At 36.0% G+C, this 23,875-nt stretch overlaps 1 long non-coding RNA gene across 1 annotated transcript; it reads left to right on the top strand.

The window, feature by feature from the left end:
- The first annotated feature begins 10,552 nt into the window (after positions 1-10,552).
- On the top strand, positions 10,553-22,971 carry LOC105379403 (uncharacterized). The gene is made up of 3 exons (XR_001741802.2): positions 10,553-10,633; positions 12,285-12,470; positions 22,705-22,971. It is a non-coding gene; the product is annotated as an uncharacterized LOC105379403 (long non-coding RNA).
- The last annotated feature ends 904 nt before the right edge of the window (positions 22,972-23,875 follow it).

Genomic DNA, 23,875 nt, shown 5'->3' with positions numbered 1-23,875 from the left:
TTTTGCTTAATATTAGCGTTAAGTTTAACAGCAGTGAAAAAACCAGAGTATAACCTGTGTCCTCTACCTTTAACCCCCACTTGTAAAGAAAGCAAATTATAGCTATTCAAGTTATTTGTGTCCGTCTTTAAAAAAGTTAATCATTCCTAACTCAAGTCACTGAACTCCAATTTTACTGAAGTTTATTTACTTATTTTATAATTACTAACAAAAATCTAACTCAGGTTTGAAAGTTAAAATAACCACATGAGTACTTGCATTTTTGCATCTGTTTGACATGTAATTTAGAAATTACCTTGAGTGATTTTCTGATGAATATTTAATTCTAATCCACACTAAAAAGTTGATTTCCTCAAACATCTAAGCACCAGCAGTTTCAAATAAAATATCATGAACCTCTCTAAATCACTTCTGACACCACTTTGAAATGACAACAAAAAACACACGAACTAATCCTGTGAGGAAGGGGAGCTGAAGCAGGACAGAAAATACTGGGATGACTTTCGACAGATTCCTTTTAAAGCATTAGAGACAGCTATACATACATTATTAAGTAACAATTATCTCTTCTCCAAACAAGTGGTAGGGCCTGACCTACTACAGTGTGGGGAAAGAAGCCTTCAAATTTCACATCTGTTTTGATAGCGTTTTGAAAAATTAATGATAGCAATGACTACCAGCCCAGATTGAAATCCATATCTATGCGTTTCTGCCTCTAAGTAGAAACACATCCACCTGTGACAACTTTATGTGAAAACAAATATATAAAGTTTATACTGTCTATATACTTAAAGTTAGTGTACTTTTCACACTTATAAAAGGTACCTACAATCTGAAAAAAGAGCTGATAATTGTACAGAACTTGAGAGCTCCTCAAAACCAAGACCAAGTATGCTAGGTTCTCTCACCTTTCATTTTAGATTCTATTCCCAGGTGATTTCACCTAGGAACATGCGAGGCTTCACTTCAATTACCAACTATATAGACTGTTGCTTGCTGTCATCCCACCTGCTGGAAGGCTCAACGGTATTTCTTTTTTTTTTTTTTTTGAGACGGAGTCTCGCTCTGTCGCCCAGGCCGGAGTGCAGTGGCGCGATCTCGGCTCACTGTAAGCTCCGCCTCCCGGGTTCACGCCATTCTCCTGCTTCAGCCTCCCGAGTAGCTGGGACTACAGGCGCCCACCACCACGCCCGGCTACTTTTTTGTATTTTTAGTGAGACAGGATTTCACCGTGTTAGCCAGGATGGTCTTGATCTCCTGACCTCATGATCTGCCCGCCTCAGCCTCCCAAAGTGCTGGGATTACAGGCGTGAGCCACAACGCCCGGCCTCAAAGGTATTTCCAACATAGTATCTCAGCTCTAGGCTCATGATTCTCTTCTCTGGTCTGGTCTCAATCCAAATCCCAAACATGAGATAGTACAAAATCTAGGTCTTTCATTCAGCTAGGAACTTCTGTAGGCTAGAAGTCCACAGTGGGGAAGGAGATGAGACACCTAATTTTTATGCTTGCACCCCAAGTTTGCCAGTTTCTAATTCTTCCAGAGTAGGATCAAAGGAAGGCGGAATAGGACAGGAGTAGAAAACTTCTTTGTGAACTTGCACTTGCATGGAGAGCTGCCTGGGCCTGGCAGATGTTTAAAGACAACTCATTCGTATTGGGCGTAGGAAGTGGCTTTCACATATTCTCTCCTACAGTTCCCCCGATCCGAGTAGATACATCTCTATTTGTGGAGTAAGCCACAACCCCTCTGCCATGGCCTTTAGGTCTGGGATAAGAAGGCAGTACCTCCCTCCCTATCCCACTCCAACAATCATGAAACAATCTTTTCTTCTGAATACATTTGTATATTTGGCATTTCACTTTGGGATTTCAAATCCAAAGCTCAGTGGCTACTGTAAACAATTTTAACAACCTGTTACTGAGGAATGGCACTTACTCTCCACAGGCTACTTGGCTAGCCACTGCAGGGGATTACAAAATCTGTATGACAGTCTTTGCTTTTGAGGAGGTTACGTCTGATAAAGGAGCTTATAAAAAGAAGAGGCTGTCACCTGAAAGAACCATGCAGGAATATTCTGTAATTAAAACCAAATATCCATAAGAACCAAACTATATTTTTAGATTTTAGTTTTAAGTTTAAAGAGACTAGACATTCTCCAGATAACAAACTCGTACAATACAAACCAAACCTATGAAAAGTTTGACTGATTTTTTTCACTAGCATATTATGATCATAGTCATTATTATTTAAAAGCTCAGTCTGTGCAAAGATGCACAGTGTCCAATTCTGAAATCAGAATGGTGAGGATGGGGGATGCAGGGTCAACTTTCATGGGGATAAATATCCTACCTATTGAATATTTGCAGAGAGGTCAAAATTTACATTTAGTAACATCACATACGGGAAGCTTGCTGATTGTGACAGAAAATAGAGACCATTGTGAAAGAAGAGAAGCGCTGTGGGGTAAGATGTAGGCATAAAACTATAGTAATACAGTGTAGAGCAAAATGATAATTCAATAGCAATAGTGCTAATTTATTAGTTTAAAAAATATCCAAATCAGTAGGAATTCAGAATTCATATTCCCACAGAAATGAAAAATATAATGGCAGATTAAACATCTAACTTCTACAGTCTTATTTTAAAGTAACAAATGAAAAATAATATTGCATTAGTATATCAATCACGTCAAGGTGTCCAAGTAAAAATGTACTCAAGTTTCAACCTCAGATAACCAGAACATCTTTCTCCTCAATGAGCAAAGACTTCTTGGGTAAGGAGAGCAGGGTCTCTGTTGGATCAAATCAATAGTAGAGGTTCCCATGGCCCATGAAAGTAATTTGACACTTTAAGAATTATGCAGAATTCTAGCCACTAGTGTCAAGGAACTAAATCAGGATGATTTAAGAGGGGAATTTATTTTTGTAATTGTCTATGAAAATCTAATTTTACTTTTAAAAAGAAAAATCCCTTAAAATTCAATGGAATAAGTTATTCTGAATATTTAACACTGTGATTTTTATCACATATTTGTAATCAACTTTTAAATTTAAAATTCAGACAAAATTATTAGAAGAGCACAGAAAGGGAGTCAGGAGAGACATTTTATAATTTATCCTGGTACACAAATAAATATATGTACATGCACATTCACAGCAGTGTTACAACAGCCAAAGGAAGAAACAACACAATTATCCATCTGTGGATGAATGGATGAATAAAATATGGTTTATGCACGCAATAAGATATTTATTCAGCCATAAAAAGGAATGGGCAGGGAGTGGTGGCTCATACCTGTAATTCCAGCACTTTGGGAGGCCAAGGCGGGTGGATCACCTGAGGTCAGGAGTTTAAGACCAGCCTGGCCAACATGGCAAAACCCCGTCTCTACTAAAAATACAAAAATTAACTGGGCATGGTGGCAAGTGCTTGTAGTCCCAGCTACTAGCGAGGCTGAGACAGGAGAATCGCATAACGTGAGCCGAGATCACGCCACTGCACTCCAGCCTGGGCAACAGAGCGAGACTCTGCCTCAAAAAAAAAAAAAAAAAAAAAGAAAGGAATGAAGTACTGATACAGGTTACAACACATGTGAACCTTGAAAACATTATTCCAAGTGAAAGTAGCCGGTCACAAAAGACCACATATAGTATGATTCCATTTATACAAAATGTCTAGAATAAGCAAATCCATAGAGACAGAAAGTAGATTAGTGGCTGCCAGGAGGCTGGGAGAGGAAGGAATGGGAAATGACTGCTTAATGATTATGAGATTTTGTTTTGCAGTGATGAAAATGCCCTGAAATTAAGATAGTGCTGATGGTTGTACAACCTTGTGAATGTACTAAAAGCCACTGAATTGTATACTTTAAATGGCTAAAATAGTCAATTTTATATTATATGAATTTTACCTCATATTTTCTTTAAGTGGGACCCTATCTTCTTCTTCTTTTTTTTTTTTTTTTTTTTTGAGATGGGTCTTGCTCTGTCACCCAGGCTGGAGTGCAGTGGCACGATCTTGGCTCACTGCAACCTCCGCCTCCCGGGTTCAAGCGATTCTCCTGCCTCAGCCTCCCGAGTAGCTGGGATTGCAGGCTCATGCCCCATGCCCTGCTGTTTTTTTTGTATTTTTAGTAGAGAGGGGTTTTCACCGTGTTAGCCAGGATGGTGTCAGTCTCCTGACCTCGTGATCACCTGCCTTGGCCTCCCAAAGTGCTGGGATTACAGGCGTGAGCCACTGCGCTCAGCCTCTGTCTTCTTCCTTTGCTCCCCTGTCTGGGTGAAAACATGTTCTTAAATCTTTGTCTTCCCTCTTAACCTATCTTGTGTCCTTGATTCTCCCCATTACTTAGAAGTCTTACATCCATAATCTCTTCCCTCCCATCACTTCCTACATCTTTCTCGATTTGCTCTTTCTTTCATATCTTCAAATTATACTTAGATCTCATCTAATTCCTCTAAAATTTAAATGTCCAATTTCTCTCCTTTTTATGGTTCATTCCCTGGTCATGCATCCCCTCTTACAGTCCCTATAAGCTGGAAGTTCATCAATAATCATATTCCCCTTTCCTTGCCAAGCAGATTTTCCAGCTGGAAGCTGTCAGGTAGGTATCGCTAGGAACTCAAAGGTAAGTCTAGTCTATTTATCACAGCATCTCCCCGAAATTTATACATTTCTTCTTCTTCTGAGACTATCTATCTTTGCAGCTTTCATACTTAATATTACAAAGCTAAGTTTATAATATATACAAGGTTTTAAACTATATATTTTAACAAGTTATTTTGGAATCAAGATATAAACTAGTTTCAGCATATAAAAATGCAGAAAAATTTCTTTGTGGGGGCGTGGTTGGATTTAATTAATCTATAAATTCATTGAAATAAGTTAGCCAATATACAATGAATCATATACAAATGCTAACAAATGAAAAAGCAGGTCAAAAATTTTTCTTTCTCATTCATTCACATTCAAAAGATATTTATTGAGTGTCTTTATTACATGCCAGACACTGTTCTAGACACAAGGGATACGATGTGAACAAGACAAATAACATCATCTTAGAGTGGACAAACAGAAAATAAACCAGATGGAAGTGAGTTCTATAAAGAAAACACAACATGGCAATCTGATGGAGAGATATAAGAAGTGAATGATGCAGCTACTTTAAATAGAGTGGTGAGTAAAAGCCACTTCAAAGTGGATTATGAGATGGGTATAGAGTTTACATTTTTCAAGACAAAAAGTTACAGAGATGGATGGTGGTGATGGTTGTGCAACATTTTAAACGTATTTAATAACACTAAACTCTACACTTAAAAATTGCTAAGACGATAGATTTTCTTATATGTATTTTCCACAATAAAAAGATGGAAGGAATAAATAAAATGAATTATGAGAAGCTAGGCATGCCAAAAAGACAAGGAAGAGCTTATTAGATTGAGGGCACAATTTCCTCAAAGAGGAAAATAAATAGAATTTCATACAATAAGAGAGAAAGGAAAATGAGGACAAACCTATTATGTTAGGTGTCTGGCTGAATAAAAGGTGAGGGTTCCCTGGTGAAGCTTTGGAAATTAACATAGCAGGAGAGGGTTTCTTATACCCAGGAAGGAGGCAGCAGAGGTTAAGAAGGGTTGAGGAGAACTAATCAGAGAAACCAAAAGTAAGCTCTCCTGGTAGAAATTAAAAAGAAAAAATTCTCAATATAGAAAAAATTGCTCAGTCAAAAATAAAAATACTGACTCTGTTGTCAAAGTCTTCTCCTATTGTCCAAGGCTCTTACTTGATCTCCTACTCCTTGAGTTCCCATGCACATCTAATTTTCTATCTGAGTGGACTTTGGACATCCTGCCTTCCTCTGAGTTCTATGTAGCACTGTCTACATAGATTTTGATTCTGGTTTATCATCGTTCCCTGGCTCTTACTTGGATCTCATCTTAAATCTTGCTGTGACTTTCAGGGTTTGGAATATTTTTACAGGGTCCAGATCCTCAGCACTGACTTTCTTGAGCTGTTTGACTCGCTGCTGTAAATGTTCTTCCTCCCATGTTTCTAGTTTTGTTATAGGTCTCCTGGCTCTAGATTCTTCCCTACCAACTGTTGCTTATAGAACCAGCAGTGACCAGGCCCTATGAGGGAAGAAAAGACGCTAATAAGAGGCTTTGTAGGGGAGCTATATTGACACAATGAACAAGAATCAAAACTCAGGACAAGAAAAGTATCTGGCAGAGTTGGTCTAATGGTATGAAATTTATGAGGAGAAATATTTCTTTTAAGAGGATAGTTCCTCAAGCCCTCCACAATGATCATTTTTTCATGTTCCTTTAATGTTTAGCTTTCTGTTCTTACCACAAGTTTCTCCTATTTAGCTTAGGAGGTTAGGAAGTAACCCTGACAAGGTCTTCCTTTTGCCTCAGTGGTTATCTCTTTTGATGGAAGAGTGGAGAGAAGAAACTGGTACTGTAATGGGAAGGTAGTTATCGGAGAGGCCAAGGGAGAGAGGGTTGGGAGAGATAATTACTACTATGAGAGATAAATGCCTTTAATCTAGGCAGTCAACAGCACTTTCTTATAGTGTATTTCCATGTAAACTTAGATGTAAAACTTAAGAGGTCTTTATCAATATCAGGTATTTGTGTTAACATTTTAAAGGTGAATTTGAGGACATGCATAAAATAAGGTGATCTATTGAGAGAGACAGCCCCAAAATACAAACCCAAATGCTGTCATCTCATAACTTGGCGACAGAAAAAGAGGGTAGGTAGTTCACTATCTTTTAACTACTACCAGCACAGAAAAATAAGGATACAGCAGTTTAGCTTGGTCATCTCTTTAAAGAAATCCTATTTTAATGCTATGCAACTCTTCCCAAGGTAAGATGCAAAATACATAGTTTGCTCATCTTCTTTAGCCCAAGAATTACAATGTATTTTGGAGAAAAACTGAAAAGGCATTCTGTGCTCATCATAGTTAACATCAGTGTGTCATGTGATACTGTTGCTTACTGACTTCTCTTTGCTCTGCTTTTGATTCCAAGATGCTACATATTCCTTTGGTTTTCTCTTATTCCTGTTTCATATTTTTCAGTTTCCTTCGTTCGCCCTTCTCCTTTGTCCATCAATGTTGGTGTTGCTGAGATTTTCATACTTTATTTGCTCTCACCCTATACATTTTCTCTGATTAATCTCATCTCTTATTTTGTATTCAATTACTGCTATGGTTTGGATGTGGTTTGTCCCTGCCAAAACTCATATAGAAGTTTAATTGCCAGTGTGACAGTGTTGGGAGGTGAGGCCTAATGGGAGGTGTTTGGGTCAAAAAGACAGATCTCTCATGAATATATTAATGCTATCTTGTGAGTTCTTGTTCTTATGGGAATGGATTTGTTCCCTTCACAGTAGACTGTTATAAAGTGAGGCAGCCCCTCTTGTTTTGCCTTTTTGCATATGTCCACTTCCCCTCTGACTTTCTCTACCATGTTTTGACCCAGCATGTAGCCCTTAACATAAGCCAGCCATATGTGGAGCTATGCTCTAGAATTTCCCAGCCTGCAGAATTGTGAGCTAAATAAACCTCTTTTCTTGATAAGCTACCCAGTCTCAGATATAGCAACACAAAACGTACTAAGACAGCTGCCCTCTATTGTCTAATAATTCCCAGATCTGTATTTTTAGCCCAGGCCTCTTACCTAAGATCTAGTCATTAACTAATTGACTACTGGACATGACAGCAGCTTTTAGATTGCCTTCTGTGCTTCTGGCATTTCCAATGTTCAATCCATACTTCACACTTCTGACAGTGACTCGACCATGTCATTGCCCTACTTAAATGTTTTCAATGATTCCCCACTGCCTTCAGCATTAAAGTCCTCAGTATGATATATAATGAACTTCAATATCGAGTCCAATCTCATCTCTTCAAAAGTAACTGTGGTCCTCTGAACAAGTCATGTGTGCTCCTGTGCTTTCGAATAGGCTGTTCCATATTTCTGGAAAACTCTACCTAGCATGCCTGTTATGGGATTAATTATGTATGTTTCACGACTAGCTCAGCTGGCAATATTTATTGAGGACATTTTATATGCTGGCACTAGGTTCCTACAGTCATGGAGTTTACATTTGTTTGTGTCTCTTTCCAATGGGAGTGGGGAGGCAAATGAATAAACAGTGAACTGGTGAAGCAGTAATAAAGCTTATGATTAAAATGAAACAAGTTGATGACAGTGACTACTTTTTTTTTTTTTTAACTGAACGACTAAAGACTTCTCTGAGGAAGGAATGTCCTCTGAAGACCTGAGATCTCCTCTTGGAAGCTATTGGTAGCTTTCCTCCAACAGCTTTATTTTTAAAGTCTTGGTTTTCGTCTGTGTATATCTATTCCAGTACACAGCCATTTCTTGAGAGAAAGAGCTCAGTCTTTTCATTGTGAATCACCTTCTCGTAGACACAAAGCCTGGCACATAGTTAATGTTGAATTAAAGTTGCTAAATAAATGAATCAATGAAATAGAACACATCTCAAATGATGACATGAAAAGAAGAGTTAGACCACATGAACGTTTCCAGGACCAAAGAACATTTAAATTCAGACAAACAACAGCTGATGGCCCCAACTTCAATCCCACACACTCAAACCTCAAAATGGAGAAACTGGATGACAACACTCGTCCAGGCAACTTGATATGATGCCTGTATCTACTCCTATCCTCCCAAAGTGCTTTTTCTGCCTTCCTTCTGGCTGTTGTTGGTCTTTGTTTTCTTCATACCCACAGGTTACTTCATCTTACTCAGACATGATTCCTGCTTTTATGCTTTTGTTTTCCCAGAGCCTGACTTTAATTAGCCCAAATTTGGCTTTAAGCTTTATGTGGATTCAAACTAATGGAATCTTAGCTCTTTTTCTTTGGTAGTCACAAGATAATGTAGTGAGCTTTGTTCTTCCCAGCAATATGGTCTCAGCTTCATTTTCTGGTTTATACAAACTAAGAATGACTTTGAACTATGTACACAGTCACACACTACCATTACTCCTTTAAATGACTCCTGCTCTAAAGTCTTGGGTTTCTCTACCCACAGTGTGACCATATAATTTGCTGTCAAAATGGACTCTGAGAATAAAAAATGATGCTTATGATAATTGCAGGCAACAGGTGTAAAACAGGTTTTGTGGCCACCCTCTCTATCCAGCAGTTTCCTGAAGAGTTTCATCTGCTACAATGACTTCTTTCTTGGCTTTCTGCTGTCCTGGCCAAGCTAGCCCCTCACACTGTCACTTCCATTGTGGTTGTATATTTAACCCTTTCAGTGCTGAAAGAACATTCTGGGATTTGTCAGTACTTTATGTAGAGATTCAAATGTGGAAACTCCTAATAACAGTAATGATAAAGCAACACTTATAAAGCAATATAATAAGATAGGTATTGTGATAAGCCTTTTACATGTTTTATTGAATTCTTTTTATAATCTAGTGATATCGCCTCTGTTTCAGAGATAAAAGAAACTGAGGCTTAAAGAGGTAACTTTACCCAAGGGCACACACTAGCACATGCAAAGTTTATATTTAATCCCAGATCTGTCTGCTTACAAGTGTCCATGTTCTTAAATTGCACTCTCTCTCTCTCTCTCTGTATATATATACATATAAAATCCTTCACTGCAAAATAATCTTTTAATGGGAAAACATCAGCCATTATGATCAGTCATTAAGAAACATCAGATGTTTCTTAAACACTATACTTTTCATATTAACAACTATAATATTGCTCACCTATTTCCCAGACAATGGGTCTCTAAAAGTTTGGAGTTGAGCAGCTCAGTGGTAAACTTTAAGCATGTACTCCACAATAAATGTATGTTTAGAAATTATACATACTCTCTTACAGTGTAGTAATAGATTTTATACACTATAGAACACAATCCAAAATAAAAATTAAAAATATGAAAATAAAAGTAAACATTAAGTTCTAATATTTTTCCTGCATCCCAAAGGGTTATCTTATCTTGCCCTCCTCCCTGAAGAGGCCATTCCAGAAACTCATCATCTAAATAAGTGCATCTCAAATGTTAATGTGCACATTAGTCAACTGGAGATCTCATTTCTAATGTAGATTTTGACTTGGTATATATAGGATGGGCCTGAGAAGCTGCATTTCTAACAAGCTTCCAAGTAATATTTATGCTGCTAACCCATGGAGCGGATTTGAGTAACAAGAATTCAAACAAAAGATTAACGTTTAGCCAAACGGATACTGCTGTTTTGCAAGAGGTAATATTAGGTTGGTGCAAAAGTCACTGCGGTTTTTGCCATTACTTTCAACGGCAACCTTGATAGCTGATTCTGAAGTCAACCTTTCACGACCATTGGCAAAACTGAGAAAAATTACTTTTTAAACCATGCAACAATCCTTACACAGCTAACCAATAATATCAAAGAATACACTTGAAATGTAGGTAACTATCATGACTGGTCATATACGTGGTTAAACTAGTAAACTAAATCATAAACAACTGATTTTGTTTTCATATACTTCTCTTCTACCACCAATGACAGCAGTGAATAGAAATTAAGAAAAAATACGGACAAAGAACAAAGCTAAAATAAGTATTTTCATCTTCCAACATGAAATCAGCAGGTAGGAAATCTGTGGTTAACTATTATTGGCTAATATCTACATTTATGTTTAACAGAGTTATAGCAATGTTTGTTGGTTGTTTCTTTTTATTTTTTAAGTAAATGCAAAGCAAGAATGTCCAAAGCATACTATTTTTTTAAAACCTATCTTTAATTTACACAAATTAAAAAGGTCCAAACCTTTTAAATGTACAGAGCTTTATGTATGAAACTCAGGTAAATTCAGAATATCAGCAAATAAAATCACAAAGCATGTTGGTCTTACTGTTAGTCTTGCAGTTCCCTAATAAAACCCTAAAATTCACATACCACTGACTGCATGACAACATCTCATGCTGACTCTCCAATAGTTTCCACCAGTCAAATACACCACACAACAACTAAGATCACACTCAAATTTCAATTATTTACCTTGTGAATCATTTTTCTTGCTTCCACTTCCTCACTGTTGGGATTCTCTAACTCAATGGTATAAGTACCCTTGTCACTTTGGTCATCATCATTATCCTTTTCAGAAGTAGCAGAAGTTGCTTGATTTTTTAACATTTTATCCATCTCCTGGCTTGGTCTGTGCCCAAGACTCCCTGAACCTCTTAATAATGCAGTTTGTAGGAAGGGTATTGACACCGATGGCTCCTCTGATTTCTGTTTTAACAGTTTCCCATGTGGAACACCATGCCCCCCTCTGTGATGCACAGAGCTAGTCTGTAAAGACAAAGAAACCACTTTGGCATCTGCTGTTGAAGACTTTGCTTTCTCAAGTTTTGTATGTGGTGTTGAATATGTAGTTTCCTGACACAAGATTCCCGCACTTTGAGTTAAAGAATATGACCTTCTTTTTCTGGGATTGTCTTCATCAAAGAATGCAATCATAAAAGCAGTTTGACTTACAACAGCTTGGTCTTGATGCTTTTCAGTAGCCTGGACCTTCTGTAGCTTTTTGTGTTCTGAATGGTGGTGTCTTAAGTGTTCCTCAAGAGTTGCACATTTGCTACAGCGCCTGTGAGCCCCAGCATTCTCTGAATCACTTTGCGTACCATCATCATGTTTATTTCCTGGATACAAAAAGAAACCACACAATAGAGAAGGAAAAAGTCCCATGTAGAAATTTAGAAGCATGTACAAAAGTGCTATTTGTTTTGCTCCCCTCCTCCTTATCAATCCAAAGTCATATGTTCTCTTCAGTAACAGGCTCGGCAAACTTGCTCAATTGCAATGGTTACATTCAAATTTTATCAACTAACAATGAGGTCCTTTATAAACAACTGAATAGGATCGCCTTTCTCCAAATTTTAACTTTATAATGTTTCATCAATGTCTTAATAGATAAGCGATGCTCTATCTCTGCGATATTTGTATTCCTAACATCAATAAACATTAATTCTGCCTTCAAATTATACACCTTATTTAGCAATAAAAAATTTGACTCTAGCATTAGAGATGAAGAAAGACAAGAAAAAGGGTAATATCACTGAAATGCTTACTGTTACACAGGAAATGAGAACACAAGTATTGTAAAAATGTGATGAATCTTAAGCTTCACTGATGTTCAGTACTTTCAGAAGCTCAGCATATTTTTCCTTTTTATTAAAAAGATTCAAATTTGTAGTCCCCATTAATTATTGCAAAATTTTTTCCACATATCTTTCCAGCTGTGAGAATTTTTGAAAACTGCATTTGCACTCGAAACTCTAGTGGCTTCAGAGTTAAAGAAAGCATGCTGAGAGGTCTATCAGTGCAAAGGGTCATCTATGAAATCTCCACCTAGATCTAAGGACCACTGGGCAAACAGCATGGTGCTAAATATAACCAGCTGTTTTCCCCAGGAAGCATATCAGGTTAGAATATATTTGAATTTTGAAAGATCACCTCTTTAACAAAGGTTTTTCTATTTTAGAGCAAGTAAAAGCCACTAGTTACCCTTAATGGTTCTGTTAGGTTTTGGATGTGATGACACAAAAATTATTTTTTTCTTGATTTAAAATTCTCATTACCTAAGTAATAAGTATATGATAAAAATAATCAAATGATATTTTATTATTACAGCATGAAATTATTAGAAAGTCAAGTTATTCTGTGCATGTTTTAAATGGAATCACAAATCAGAGCTTAAATTAGTTTTAAGCTTCTTTAGCTATAAATGAATTTAGTCAACAAGGTACATTCTAATGCTTCCAGGACTAAATCTGATTTTTAAATTTACCTGGGCTACAAGTTTTAATGTGAACACCCACTGAATAATATGGTACCAAACAAAATAATGATCAGACATGAAAGACTTAGGGGTGGGAGAGGCAAATGACCTATGTCTAGGGAAGTTGAGTGTTAATGTTTGTAGGTTGTTCCTAATGAATTTAGAGATTACTAACTGGTCCCAATGATTTAACACAGAAACACTAGTTATAAAAATGTGGTGCATAAAAGGAATGAGAAGACACAGAAGAGAGAACTGCAGAACACACAGAAAAGGGTCATGTCTTGGAAAAGTAATAGGCAAGGGAAACAAAGGGAGTAAGATCAAAATGAAGGTGATTTGGAGATCACGTCTATCAAAGTAATAGTGATTAATACTATAAAAATCATATATGACAACAAATCTGAAGATCTTTCTTCAAATTGTTGACTACTCAAAATGCAATCTGAAAAGAAAAAATGGGATTAATTAATGAAATCCCTGCCTCAGGTAATTAAGCTAGGAATAACAGATAGCAGATGAAAGGCAAGCCCAAACAAACTCACTAGTTCAAATATAGACTTCATTAAAAACACTAGATTTTACAACCTATTTCATTGTTGTATTGGCTCTATTGAAAAGGAATCCAGTTTCTAAAAGCTGAAAATAACTAAATTCCAATATTTGCTGTACCATAAGAATAACAGATCACGCACATACAGAAAGATTTTAATGAAAATACCATCTTCACAGAATTTAATTGATTCCAATAGATAAAATTTGGCACTTAGTGGTGTCAGGCCCTTTCAAATATCTTTCCTATAACCTGTAGTTCAAAACTTTTCTTATAAATTAGTCATTTTCTTTTTTGGAAAATTACCATTCCCTCTTGTATTCTGTCAGGGTTATACAAGTCAACATCTCATCACAGCTGCAATTTTCTGTTTCTACTCATTAATAAAGTCACTAGGAAACAGTCCTCACCAGGTTCTTTTCTTTCCTTTGCTTATCATTAACCATGCCTAAATACGTTGAAGTCCTTTTAATATTTTTAGGGTAGGTTAGCTGTAACAAGTCAGTGGTGTGGCCTAAAACAGTGGCAACTCTCCTAAAGGGTTAAAATGTATGGGCTTTCTTTTCCTCACTGTCGCAAAGCACCTGCATTTTACTCTTGTAGGAGCAAAGTTTTTTGTTTTAGTTTTGTTTTGCCTACTTTCAATTCTTTGATCTAAACAGTTGCTGAAAACCTAATTTTTGTAAAATTTTTATTATTTGCTATAATTACATTTATTTAGAGTCTGGCTATATACTTTTTATATCCTAAATCATGGAAAATTGTTATCTAATGATGGAAGCTCTGACTTTTGGAGAAAGTTACATGTCATTTATACACATGTCCAGAAAAGTAAAATGAGTCTATCTTGGATCAAAAAATGAGTTATATTCACAAAAACATTATCTTCAATGGCTTGTAAAATGGTCTGAAGGCAAATCCAAAAGAAGAATTCTCACACTGGCACCATACTGGGATGTATGTCTACCTATAAATCAACTTTGAAGGACAACAGTAATATGATTACATAATTTCTAGTAAGGGCTTAAAAGATCTAATCATTAAAATACAGATACAGTACACATGTGGACATTAATCCCTCTATTTGGAATTAGGCCCACAAATGGGCTTGTGAGGACAGAATGTTTTAAAATAATGGCTTAAAAATAATAGTCGATACAGGCCAGGCACGGTGGCTCACGCCTGTAACCCCAGCACTTTGGGAGGCTAAGGTGGGCGGATCACGAGGTCAGGAGATTGAGACCATCCTGGCTAACACGGTGAAACCCCGTCTCTACTAAAAATAAAAAAAATTAGCCGGGTGTGGTGGCGGGCGCCTGTAGTCCCAGCTACTCGGGAGGCTGAGGCAGGAGAATGGCGTGAACCCAGGAGGCGGAGCTTGCAGTGAGCCGAGATCGCGCCACTGCACTCCAGCCTGGGTGACAAAGCGAGACTCCGTCTCAAAAAAAAAAAAAAAAAAAGTAATAATAATAATAATAGTCAATACAGAAAATAGTTATAATGACTAAGTTATAAATGGGTTTAATACAGGTATTTTTAAAATGATTACCTTTTAAAAGGATATTTTACCTCAGTTTTTGTTTATTAAGAGTGGTTTTAAAAAGTCTAAGTTATTTCTAAATTCTCAAGGTTCAGCTACCTCTTATACTGTACTAGGAGATCAATATTATTTATCCAATTCATATAAACAGCCTATGTGTTTGTGAGTGTTAACCTATAGAAACAAAACGTCTCAATTACGTATTGTCTAGAAGTAAAAGGTCACAATCATGTCTCAAAAATACATATGCCAGGTAACTGCTGATAACTATAATTAAATATTGTGATAGGCTCCAACAAATAATTAGGTAATCACATCATCTCACTGTCCGGAAATGTCTTAGAAGCAAATCAGAAATAAGTATACAAATACTATTTCTTCATTACTTGATCAGAATGCCAGGACATAAGGTACAGATTAAATCAGGGACAGTCTTGTCATTGACAGAGAAGTCGCCCATTGTTTATTCAAATTAGTACCTATCACATGCTCAAGTACTAGATGAAGTGTTAGGAGTACAAAAACTCCTAATATAGTAACAGAATGGTCAGATAAACATGTAATCACAATTTGTTCAAAATCGTTTTCCTTATAGATAGCTTATTAAATAAAAGATAGGGTAACATAAATCTATACTCAATTCTAAAATAAATTTAATTGGCAAAACCAATGAGAAAAACCTGATCAGCTGATACGTCAGTGTACAGACATACAAATGTTACTAATTTTGGCTAAGTTGTACACAAATAAAGTATATATAACTATTTCAAAAATGAACATTCAACTCTAATTTTCATAAAGTCCTAATATTAAAAAAAATTTTAAACTGGATTAATAGATCCTACCAAATATTTCCAAACCAAAAATCTTTGTTTTATGAGTAACCACTGAGAATACTTTGAAGTGCTCCATCAATGATGTGACTGCATTACCAAAGTAGAACTTTTGGCTCAGACCAAATGGCTTAAAATTTCTTTCAGAATCTAGATATTGATCTCAATAGAGAACAGAATTGAATATATCTTTGCCTTAAATCAAGAAAATGATGGAACTCATCTTCTAGGGAACTCTACTGGTGAACTTAATAAATCTTGTATTTCTAGAAGAAAAAGAAACATGTTTTATAGCATAAATATAAGCTCATAAAACCAATCTGGTTTTGTCAAGAAAATGAAGGAAGACTATTTTGAATGAGGAAATTGGACATGGGCAGTGTGGCTTCCTGTTTAGTTTTAAGACTAAATGTAACCTTTGAAAAAAGCAGAATGTTTTCTACCATGTAAGTATCTACTAGTAGTCTAGTAAATGAAGACCAGATTTTCTTTATCGTAAAGTAGGAAGTTCTGAATGATCAAATCACTTTACCTTTCAACCTTTTCAAGTACACTGGAACATCACTTTTAATGCTTTTAGAATCCTCTTCTGTTCTTTTCCATAGCATTTGAGGAGGGTTGTTTTGTGCTAGCCAGTCAGCAGCTTTGTTTTCGGGTGCCATCATTCCTGTTTGAATCCCCAGCAAGTCTTGAGTTCCAGGAGAAGACTTCTTGGACTTGTGGCGCTGATCAGAAGTAAACTTTGTCACATGGTCTCTAATAGTTACCTTCCCTGGGGTACTGTCATCAAATTCAATGGTAAATGAAGCATGCCCTGCACCTGTTATATGGGAACTTGGTGTGTCTTTTGTTGGGATTTCATGAATAGTGCTTTCTGTTATTTGTGATGGTTGCTGGAATTCTTTTGTAGGGATTTCAAAATAACTTGGTTCCCTACAGAAAGGAAAAAGTACTTCTTCATTTGCAGCTGCAGATTGTTCCTCAACTTGCTTGGCATCTATGCTGCACCCTAATGAGAAAAATAAGAGAAAATTCAAAATATTTGATTGCTTCTGGCACTTGAGGGGGTCTGGTAATGGCCATGTGTACTACTCCGTGAGAACCAGAAGGCAGATCACAGTCTGGATGAAAACCAATGGCATTTATATCACAGAACAAATGTCACAGAGAAGAAAGAATCTTGATTATAAACATGCTATTTGATTACCAATAGGGGATGGAAGATAAGCAGCAGCAATGGCAAATGAGAGCAAAGCAGTTAAGAAATGGATCTTGCATGGCTAGGTCCATATTTTTTCCAACTTGGATCTAGAATTCATCAAGGTCCAAAAGAATTAAAATAAAATGTAGATGGAGATGCATGTTCAATGTATATATAAAAAGTGACAGAAAAACCATGAATTCCCTTCTCAAGTCACGAAGATGAGATATCTGAAATATATATGAACACATGTAGTGCTCCAAAGGAGAATAGGTGCTCAAATGAGAATACAAACATGAAGTAAATATGTAAGTGATCTTCTGGAAGTAATGATTCCACGTACCATTCTTCACCATTACATTCAGAAACATTACTTTCAGAATGACAAAGATATTGCTGAAGTGTGATCCTTGCAAGAAGATACAAACATTTTATAAAGACTAAAACATGTGGTTTGCAATCCAAGCAGCAGTGTGAAAGAAATAAGGTTAAAATAGGAAATTCAGTTTCCAGACAATAACTCTGGAAGTTTACATTTCCATACAGCAGAATATGCAAAAGTGTCAAAATTCCTTGGAGGAAAGCTGAATTGTAAACCTCAGATTAACATGAGTTGGCAGAAGGAGCAAGCAACTCTGGAACACTATCACTATTCTTCTGTTGCCTCAGAATCTAATACAAAAGTATAAAAACAGATGCATTTATGAATAAAATACATAAATGAAAATGACAACTAAAACGTTTTCGGTATGCAAATGCAAAATAAAAAAATTAAAGATGCTATTGTCCTGTTGTTGAAGAAGCAAAGCATGTCCGTTATCAAAATGAAGAGCAAGTTGAAATGAGACATATTTCCCTAAAGCTCAAAAATAAATTCTGCTTTTAAACAGATTAATAGAAAAATCACTTACAGACAATTTATTAGGAAAACAAGGCAATACAGGGAGACTAGGTTGTTTCCAAACATTTTCTAATTAAGTGAAGCATTTGGTCTTTTGAAACATCTTTTCAAAAATTAAATTTTAGTGGGATCTGTCAGGTACTATAATTGGTTTCTTGACAGCAGTCTGAATATGAAATAATATAAAACCTGACTGCTGTTAGGTTACAGAAGAATGATATAGTAACATCTCTCTTTCATAATCAAATGTGTGGGATAGGGCACGGAAGACAACAAGCTCCATTTCCACAATAAATATAATAATAATAAATTGTCAAAAAAATCTAAACACAAGGCAAAGAGAACATATAATATGAAAGAATATATTGTAATTTTCACTGTGAAAAATTATCCCTTTTAAAATCTACTCAGCTTTCCTATCACTGAACATGAAAGAAAAGTATTGGAAAAACTCTACATTATCAGAGAAATAATCATACATTTATATGACATGACCTAAGTTTAAAAGAATGTTTGATTAAAGAGTTAATTTGTCTTTTTCTTAAAAATAAAATGTTCAGCTGGACTTCTGAGTGTTTACTCTGAAGTCATGTTAGTTAAAATTTCCATTAGAATAAAATGTATTAACTGCTTCTCATATATTAATAGTTCATTAATGTTATTTTTCTATTTTTTCAGACATCGATTTTTTTACTATGTACAATGTACTGTACTTGATCAAGTCCATACAACTGGTTCATAAACCTGTCCTCTCTCCCTCCCCCCATATAGATATATACATATAGTTTGTTTTTGCTTTGCTCATCCTTCAGGTGACAGAACAACGTCAAGATGGTAGTTTCTAATACCACTACACAGAGAGCCAAATAAAACTGATCCACTATACAGAGAGCTAAATAAAACTGATGTGGCTCAGCTATGAAGCAACACAAAAAAGCTGGCCAGGGATATAGCACTTATCAACCACTTGTTGTTCATGATTCAAAGGAATATTATCTCAGTTTTCCTCCCTTGCAAAAAAAGTTCACAGTTAATACTGACATGTTTTAACATGTTTCATGCATTAAAACAGCTGAGATCAACAACTGCACTGCACTGTTTTGAAGGTCACCATTCCCACGTTAGTACTACTTCAAACTCGCATTCACTCAAAGCTAGAAACTTGAGACTTATACAAGTTAATAACTAATTCATCTAGAAATCAAGTACCTAACCATGTCAAGTAGCACAATAGAGTGGAAAGGCAGCAGACTATGATCTGATGATCATAACCAGGCAGCCTGGTTTCATGCAAAGCCCAGACAAGATCTGAAATCAGATAAATCTTATCCCTAATCAGTCTGTAGTCCTCATTTTCCTCATCATAAAGTGAGAAAACAGTATCTTCCCATAAGATTGTTGTGAAGATTTAGTGAGATGAGTATTAAGTGAGATCATGTAAGTTACCCAGAACAAAGCAGGTACACAAATAAATGCTTCTCCCTCAACCTTCAAAAACAGCTGAGAATCAGGAAGACAAAAAGCTAATACCAAAACCCAACTCTAAAAATCCCAAGACAGATATGACAATGCCTATCCTTGAATATTCATAAACATTACTAACAGTTAAGATCTTCACCGAGAGGTTTTTACTATTTACTCAGATCACATGTAGCAAACCTTGGGCAGGGTACAAAAGTGAGGATTAAGGACAGACAAATTGCACCAAGTGGTAGAGATAAGATGAAAAACAAGAGCAGACAAATGGCCCCAAAAACATGGTAGTCCAGTACCATTCAGTATATAGGGCAAACAGTCTTATATACTACAGTCTCCCGAGGACATTATTGTAGGGCAGTATCAGTATTATTATATTACTAATATATTTGATTATTGATTATATCAATATTGCTATTGCTATTGATATATATAATAATAGTAATACTGATATTGATGATTGATGATTCTGAGTCATAAGAAAAAGTTTTAAATTATACTGAACCTTCTCTGCTTAAGAAGGTGGTAATATGGGTAATTAATTTAATAGAAACTTAGGAAATGGTTAAACTTTAAAAAAACTATCAACTGTAAAAGTAAAGTTCAATCATCTGGAAAATTCATTATGTGGAAGGATTCATTTCCCTAAAGATGATAAAAACAGATGAAGTGTGGTCCAACTACACTTGAGAAGTACCTAACAGAAAACTATAAGGGGTCTTCTAATCAACATAGAAAAATAAAACACCTTTCCTCCCTCAGAACACTAACAGAACATATTCTGGAATTTAGAAATTTAACATTCATCTATCTTCAAAACTCATTTTGTTATACCAAATGAAACTAAATAATAGAGTAAATACTTGTTTAGACTAATATTATATTATTAATCTCAATTACTAGATTTTAAAAAATTATTTAATGATTGACTATGCCATAATTAATTCCATATATCTAAATCAGAAAAGCAATTGGTGATAATCTGCTTATGTTCTTAAGGTATTTTATGACTGTGTTACCTTAACACAATATGTTATAAGGGATACTTATACTTCATCCAGAATAAATGTTCTTTTCATTCTTCTGTACTAAATTCAATGAAATATTAAACTTATTTGAGATGACAAGAACTATAATTATAACAGCTCATTCTGCTTAAGACATCCATCTAACCTAGTCTGTTCAAGCATGTCAAATTAAGAAGACTGGGAAGCTCCTTTTGCTTAAAAGGAGCTACGACTTGAAAATTTCCAAATTTAGTTTCGCTGGATTAAAAATCAACATGAGAGAGCCAAAAATCTACGATTCCCAGTTGCACATGCCATTTCAAAATGTGTGCGACATTTAAAGGCCTTTAATTATAACCTAAATTAATTGTTGAGACCAAGTTAGGAGGTAGAAAAGCATAGCTGTAAGTAAATTGAGGACAAACTTTCTGTCTTAATACGATTAAAAATAGTCACACAATTTCTGGAGAACGAAATTGCTCTAAAGTAAGTGTTTGCTTAAACCAGGGCTTTTTAAGCTATATGGCAAGTCTTCAGGAGTTTCTGGATATATATGAACCCACAGAGAGGAACGTTAAAAATTACTAGGTAGCAAACACTCTATTATCCTTTCTGGAATGCAACTCTAAAAATTAATAATGAAGAAGCAAATCACTTTTTGCTTTCACTAAGAGTATGCTACAGGATAAATTATTAAACTAATCACGTATATTCCACAATTTGAAACTTAAAAAAAAGTTTAAGTTTTTAAAAATACCTTAATTTCAAAATGACCACATTAAAGAACACTTGATATGCATTTCAAATCTGATTCTACAATTTCTGCTGGCTTCATAAATTATTTCAAGACAGTAAACTATTTTCCTCATCCTATATTTTAAAAAGCTGCAAATGATAAATCTGAAACAGTAATATCCTCATACTAACATAAGAAAGCAAGTGAGAGTCTCTTAAGGCTATTACTAATCAGCTGTATCTGACAGGGCACTTTAAGGAATTTGACACAAGACATAAATCACTGAATTATTACTCAAAAAGAACCCCAAGATCATGAGACGGCTTTTGGTCATCTAGCAGAAAGAGCACACAAGCTGAGAATCAGTTACGTTCATATAGATGAAAGTATTGCTGGATGCTTCACATTTGAAATTTATTTTATTATGCCGAGCTAGGAGGGATCAATTTTCATGGCTATTTGATTTTGGAGTATTTGTTTAAATCTTTGTACCCTATGAAGTATATCCTTTTAGAGTGATTGTGTTTACAAGAGTAATGATGGCTGAAATATTAAAACTTCTTATGGTTAAGAGCGTGGACTCAGGAGTCAGGCAATCTAAGTTCAAATCCCAGCTCCATTATTTGTAGTTGGGTGACTTTGACAAGTAAATTAATTTCAGTATGCCTCAGTTTCTTTATCTACAAAATCACAGTAACTACACCTTTAGGTATTGCTGTGATGATTAAATAAATGCATACAAAGCACTTAGAAGAATGTTGGATAAAGTAAACACTACTGAAGTGTTAGCTATTACTGTAAATCATGGTTGTGCCTTCTGTACAAAAATTACATATACACTTCATTGTATGTTAGAAGTTATGCGCTTCAGATTTCAAAAGCTGTTTTGTGTGTGACAGGGGAGGGCTAAAATTTTAATGGCAAGATAAAAATTACTATCATACTGATTTTCAGAGTTTGGTGATAATTATATTCAGCTATGTTTTCTTAATCACCTAATTGGTAAATCTTTCCCCCTCTCAGTACTAGGTGGCTCTAGGGCACAGTGATAGTATATTATGCGGTACTGGAATAAGACATGTATAGTTTAGTTGTGGGGAGGAGGCACACACACAACATAGTGAATGAAACTGTAACGTACTGACGATAAATATACAGACATCATTTAGAATGTATCCTTTATCATTTAATGTATGTGTGTATTTATGTCTGTGGGAAAAGAGCAGGCAGGAATTAGCGTAATTTATGGGGGATGCATTGGGAGAGACCACTCAAACAACTGGTAATGGGACGTAAGGCTGACCATGGAAACTGGGACAAAATTAGAAAACTCTGACATGAACAACTTAGTTTAAAATCTATTTGGCAGGCAAAAGACAGTCATTGTAGTTTCTTGAACAAAGAAAATAAAGATCAATTTAGATGTGTTATACAAAATAAACTGCAGGAGGGTTGAAACCAGGAGGTTGGTAGCCCAGTCATGACTCAGGACGGGGGGCAGCGTGGGGAAAGGCAACGACCTAAGGATTAGACAAACAAGATGAAGGGAAGGGAACACCCAAAATTTACAAATAAAGCAGACATCCTTGGTTTTCTTTCAATATCCTTTCGCTGTTCTTTCCTCCTCAAAGGACTCCAAAAATCTCTGGCATCCACTCTTTCCTGACATAGATCATGTGGCTTAGGGGAAAACTAACACCACACACAGCTTCAAGGTGAGCAAGACTGGTTTAAGGATAATCTAACTTGCCTTGCCAGGGATTGGTTCAGAAATAAGCAGGTGACCCTCTCCTGAACCTGTTAGAGGCCAATGAGATGAGAGATGTTAAGAACTTTTGGCAAAGTTCTTCCAAATTCTGGAAGGTCTTCCGGAAGTAACGTTTTCGCTTTCCTGTTGGATGTGATCAAAGTAGCATGTACCCCTTCCTGCTACTGGCAGGCAGCCTATGAGAGTGAGGGTAAACTCCTCAGTCTGCAACCACTATGAAGAGCAAGACTGAGAGATGGAGAGAAGCTAGCTAGCTGATGACGACATTGTTGAGATGCTGAAGTAAACAACCCTCATGGGGTTCAGTTATGTGAGCCAGTAAATTTCTTCCCTGTTTAGTCTCAGGCAGCATTTGTTATTTACATCTGAAAGCGTGCTAAGTAATACTGTTTCTGTGCATGGGCATGAAGAAAACTGCTGGTGACAGAAACAATAAAGCTGGGATGGGAATTTATTTGAAAGTTGACAAGTTCAGCCTTGGGCACTGTAAGATGAAGTTGATAATGCTCGCTTTTCTAGACTTGTATCCATTAGAGCATACCTAAAGAACCAATGTTCTTATTCTCCAGCTAAGAAAAATGTCCTATTTATCTTGTAGAATTAGGGTGAAAAGCAGAAAAGTGAGAAGAGTTCTCATGGAATTTATCCTTGGTTCAGAGCCAGACTTAGTCTTCCATACTGAGCCCAGGTGCCTGTACTTAATTCCTCCAGTTCTGGATCCTTGTCTGCTGTTATCTCAAAAACTGGCTGCTCCATCTTTCTGTCCTCATGTCTTTGCAAGGTCCTTATGTGGCAACTGACGCCTCCATTCATCTCCTGGAAGTCTTGATTTTCTGGTTTATGGACTGAACCACTCCATTAACAATATCAGAAATATCAAAAATATGTTCCTTGACTATTAATCTGAGAATCTGACCCAGAACTATTTTTTCATTCTGGCTGCCAAACTCAACTAATCTTGTTGCTGCCATTTCTCATTACAATGAGCACACTGAGGTTTTGAAGAATTTGTAATTTCATATCACATTTCTGAA

The sequence above is a fragment of the Homo sapiens genome, chromosome 4 (genome assembly GCF_000001405.40).
Source record: "Homo sapiens chromosome 4, GRCh38.p14 Primary Assembly".
Classification (NCBI taxonomy): Eukaryota; Metazoa; Chordata; class Mammalia; order Primates; family Hominidae; genus Homo; species Homo sapiens.
The sequence above is the reverse complement of the archived record's forward strand: the minus strand, read 5'-3'. Positions and strand labels throughout refer to the sequence as shown.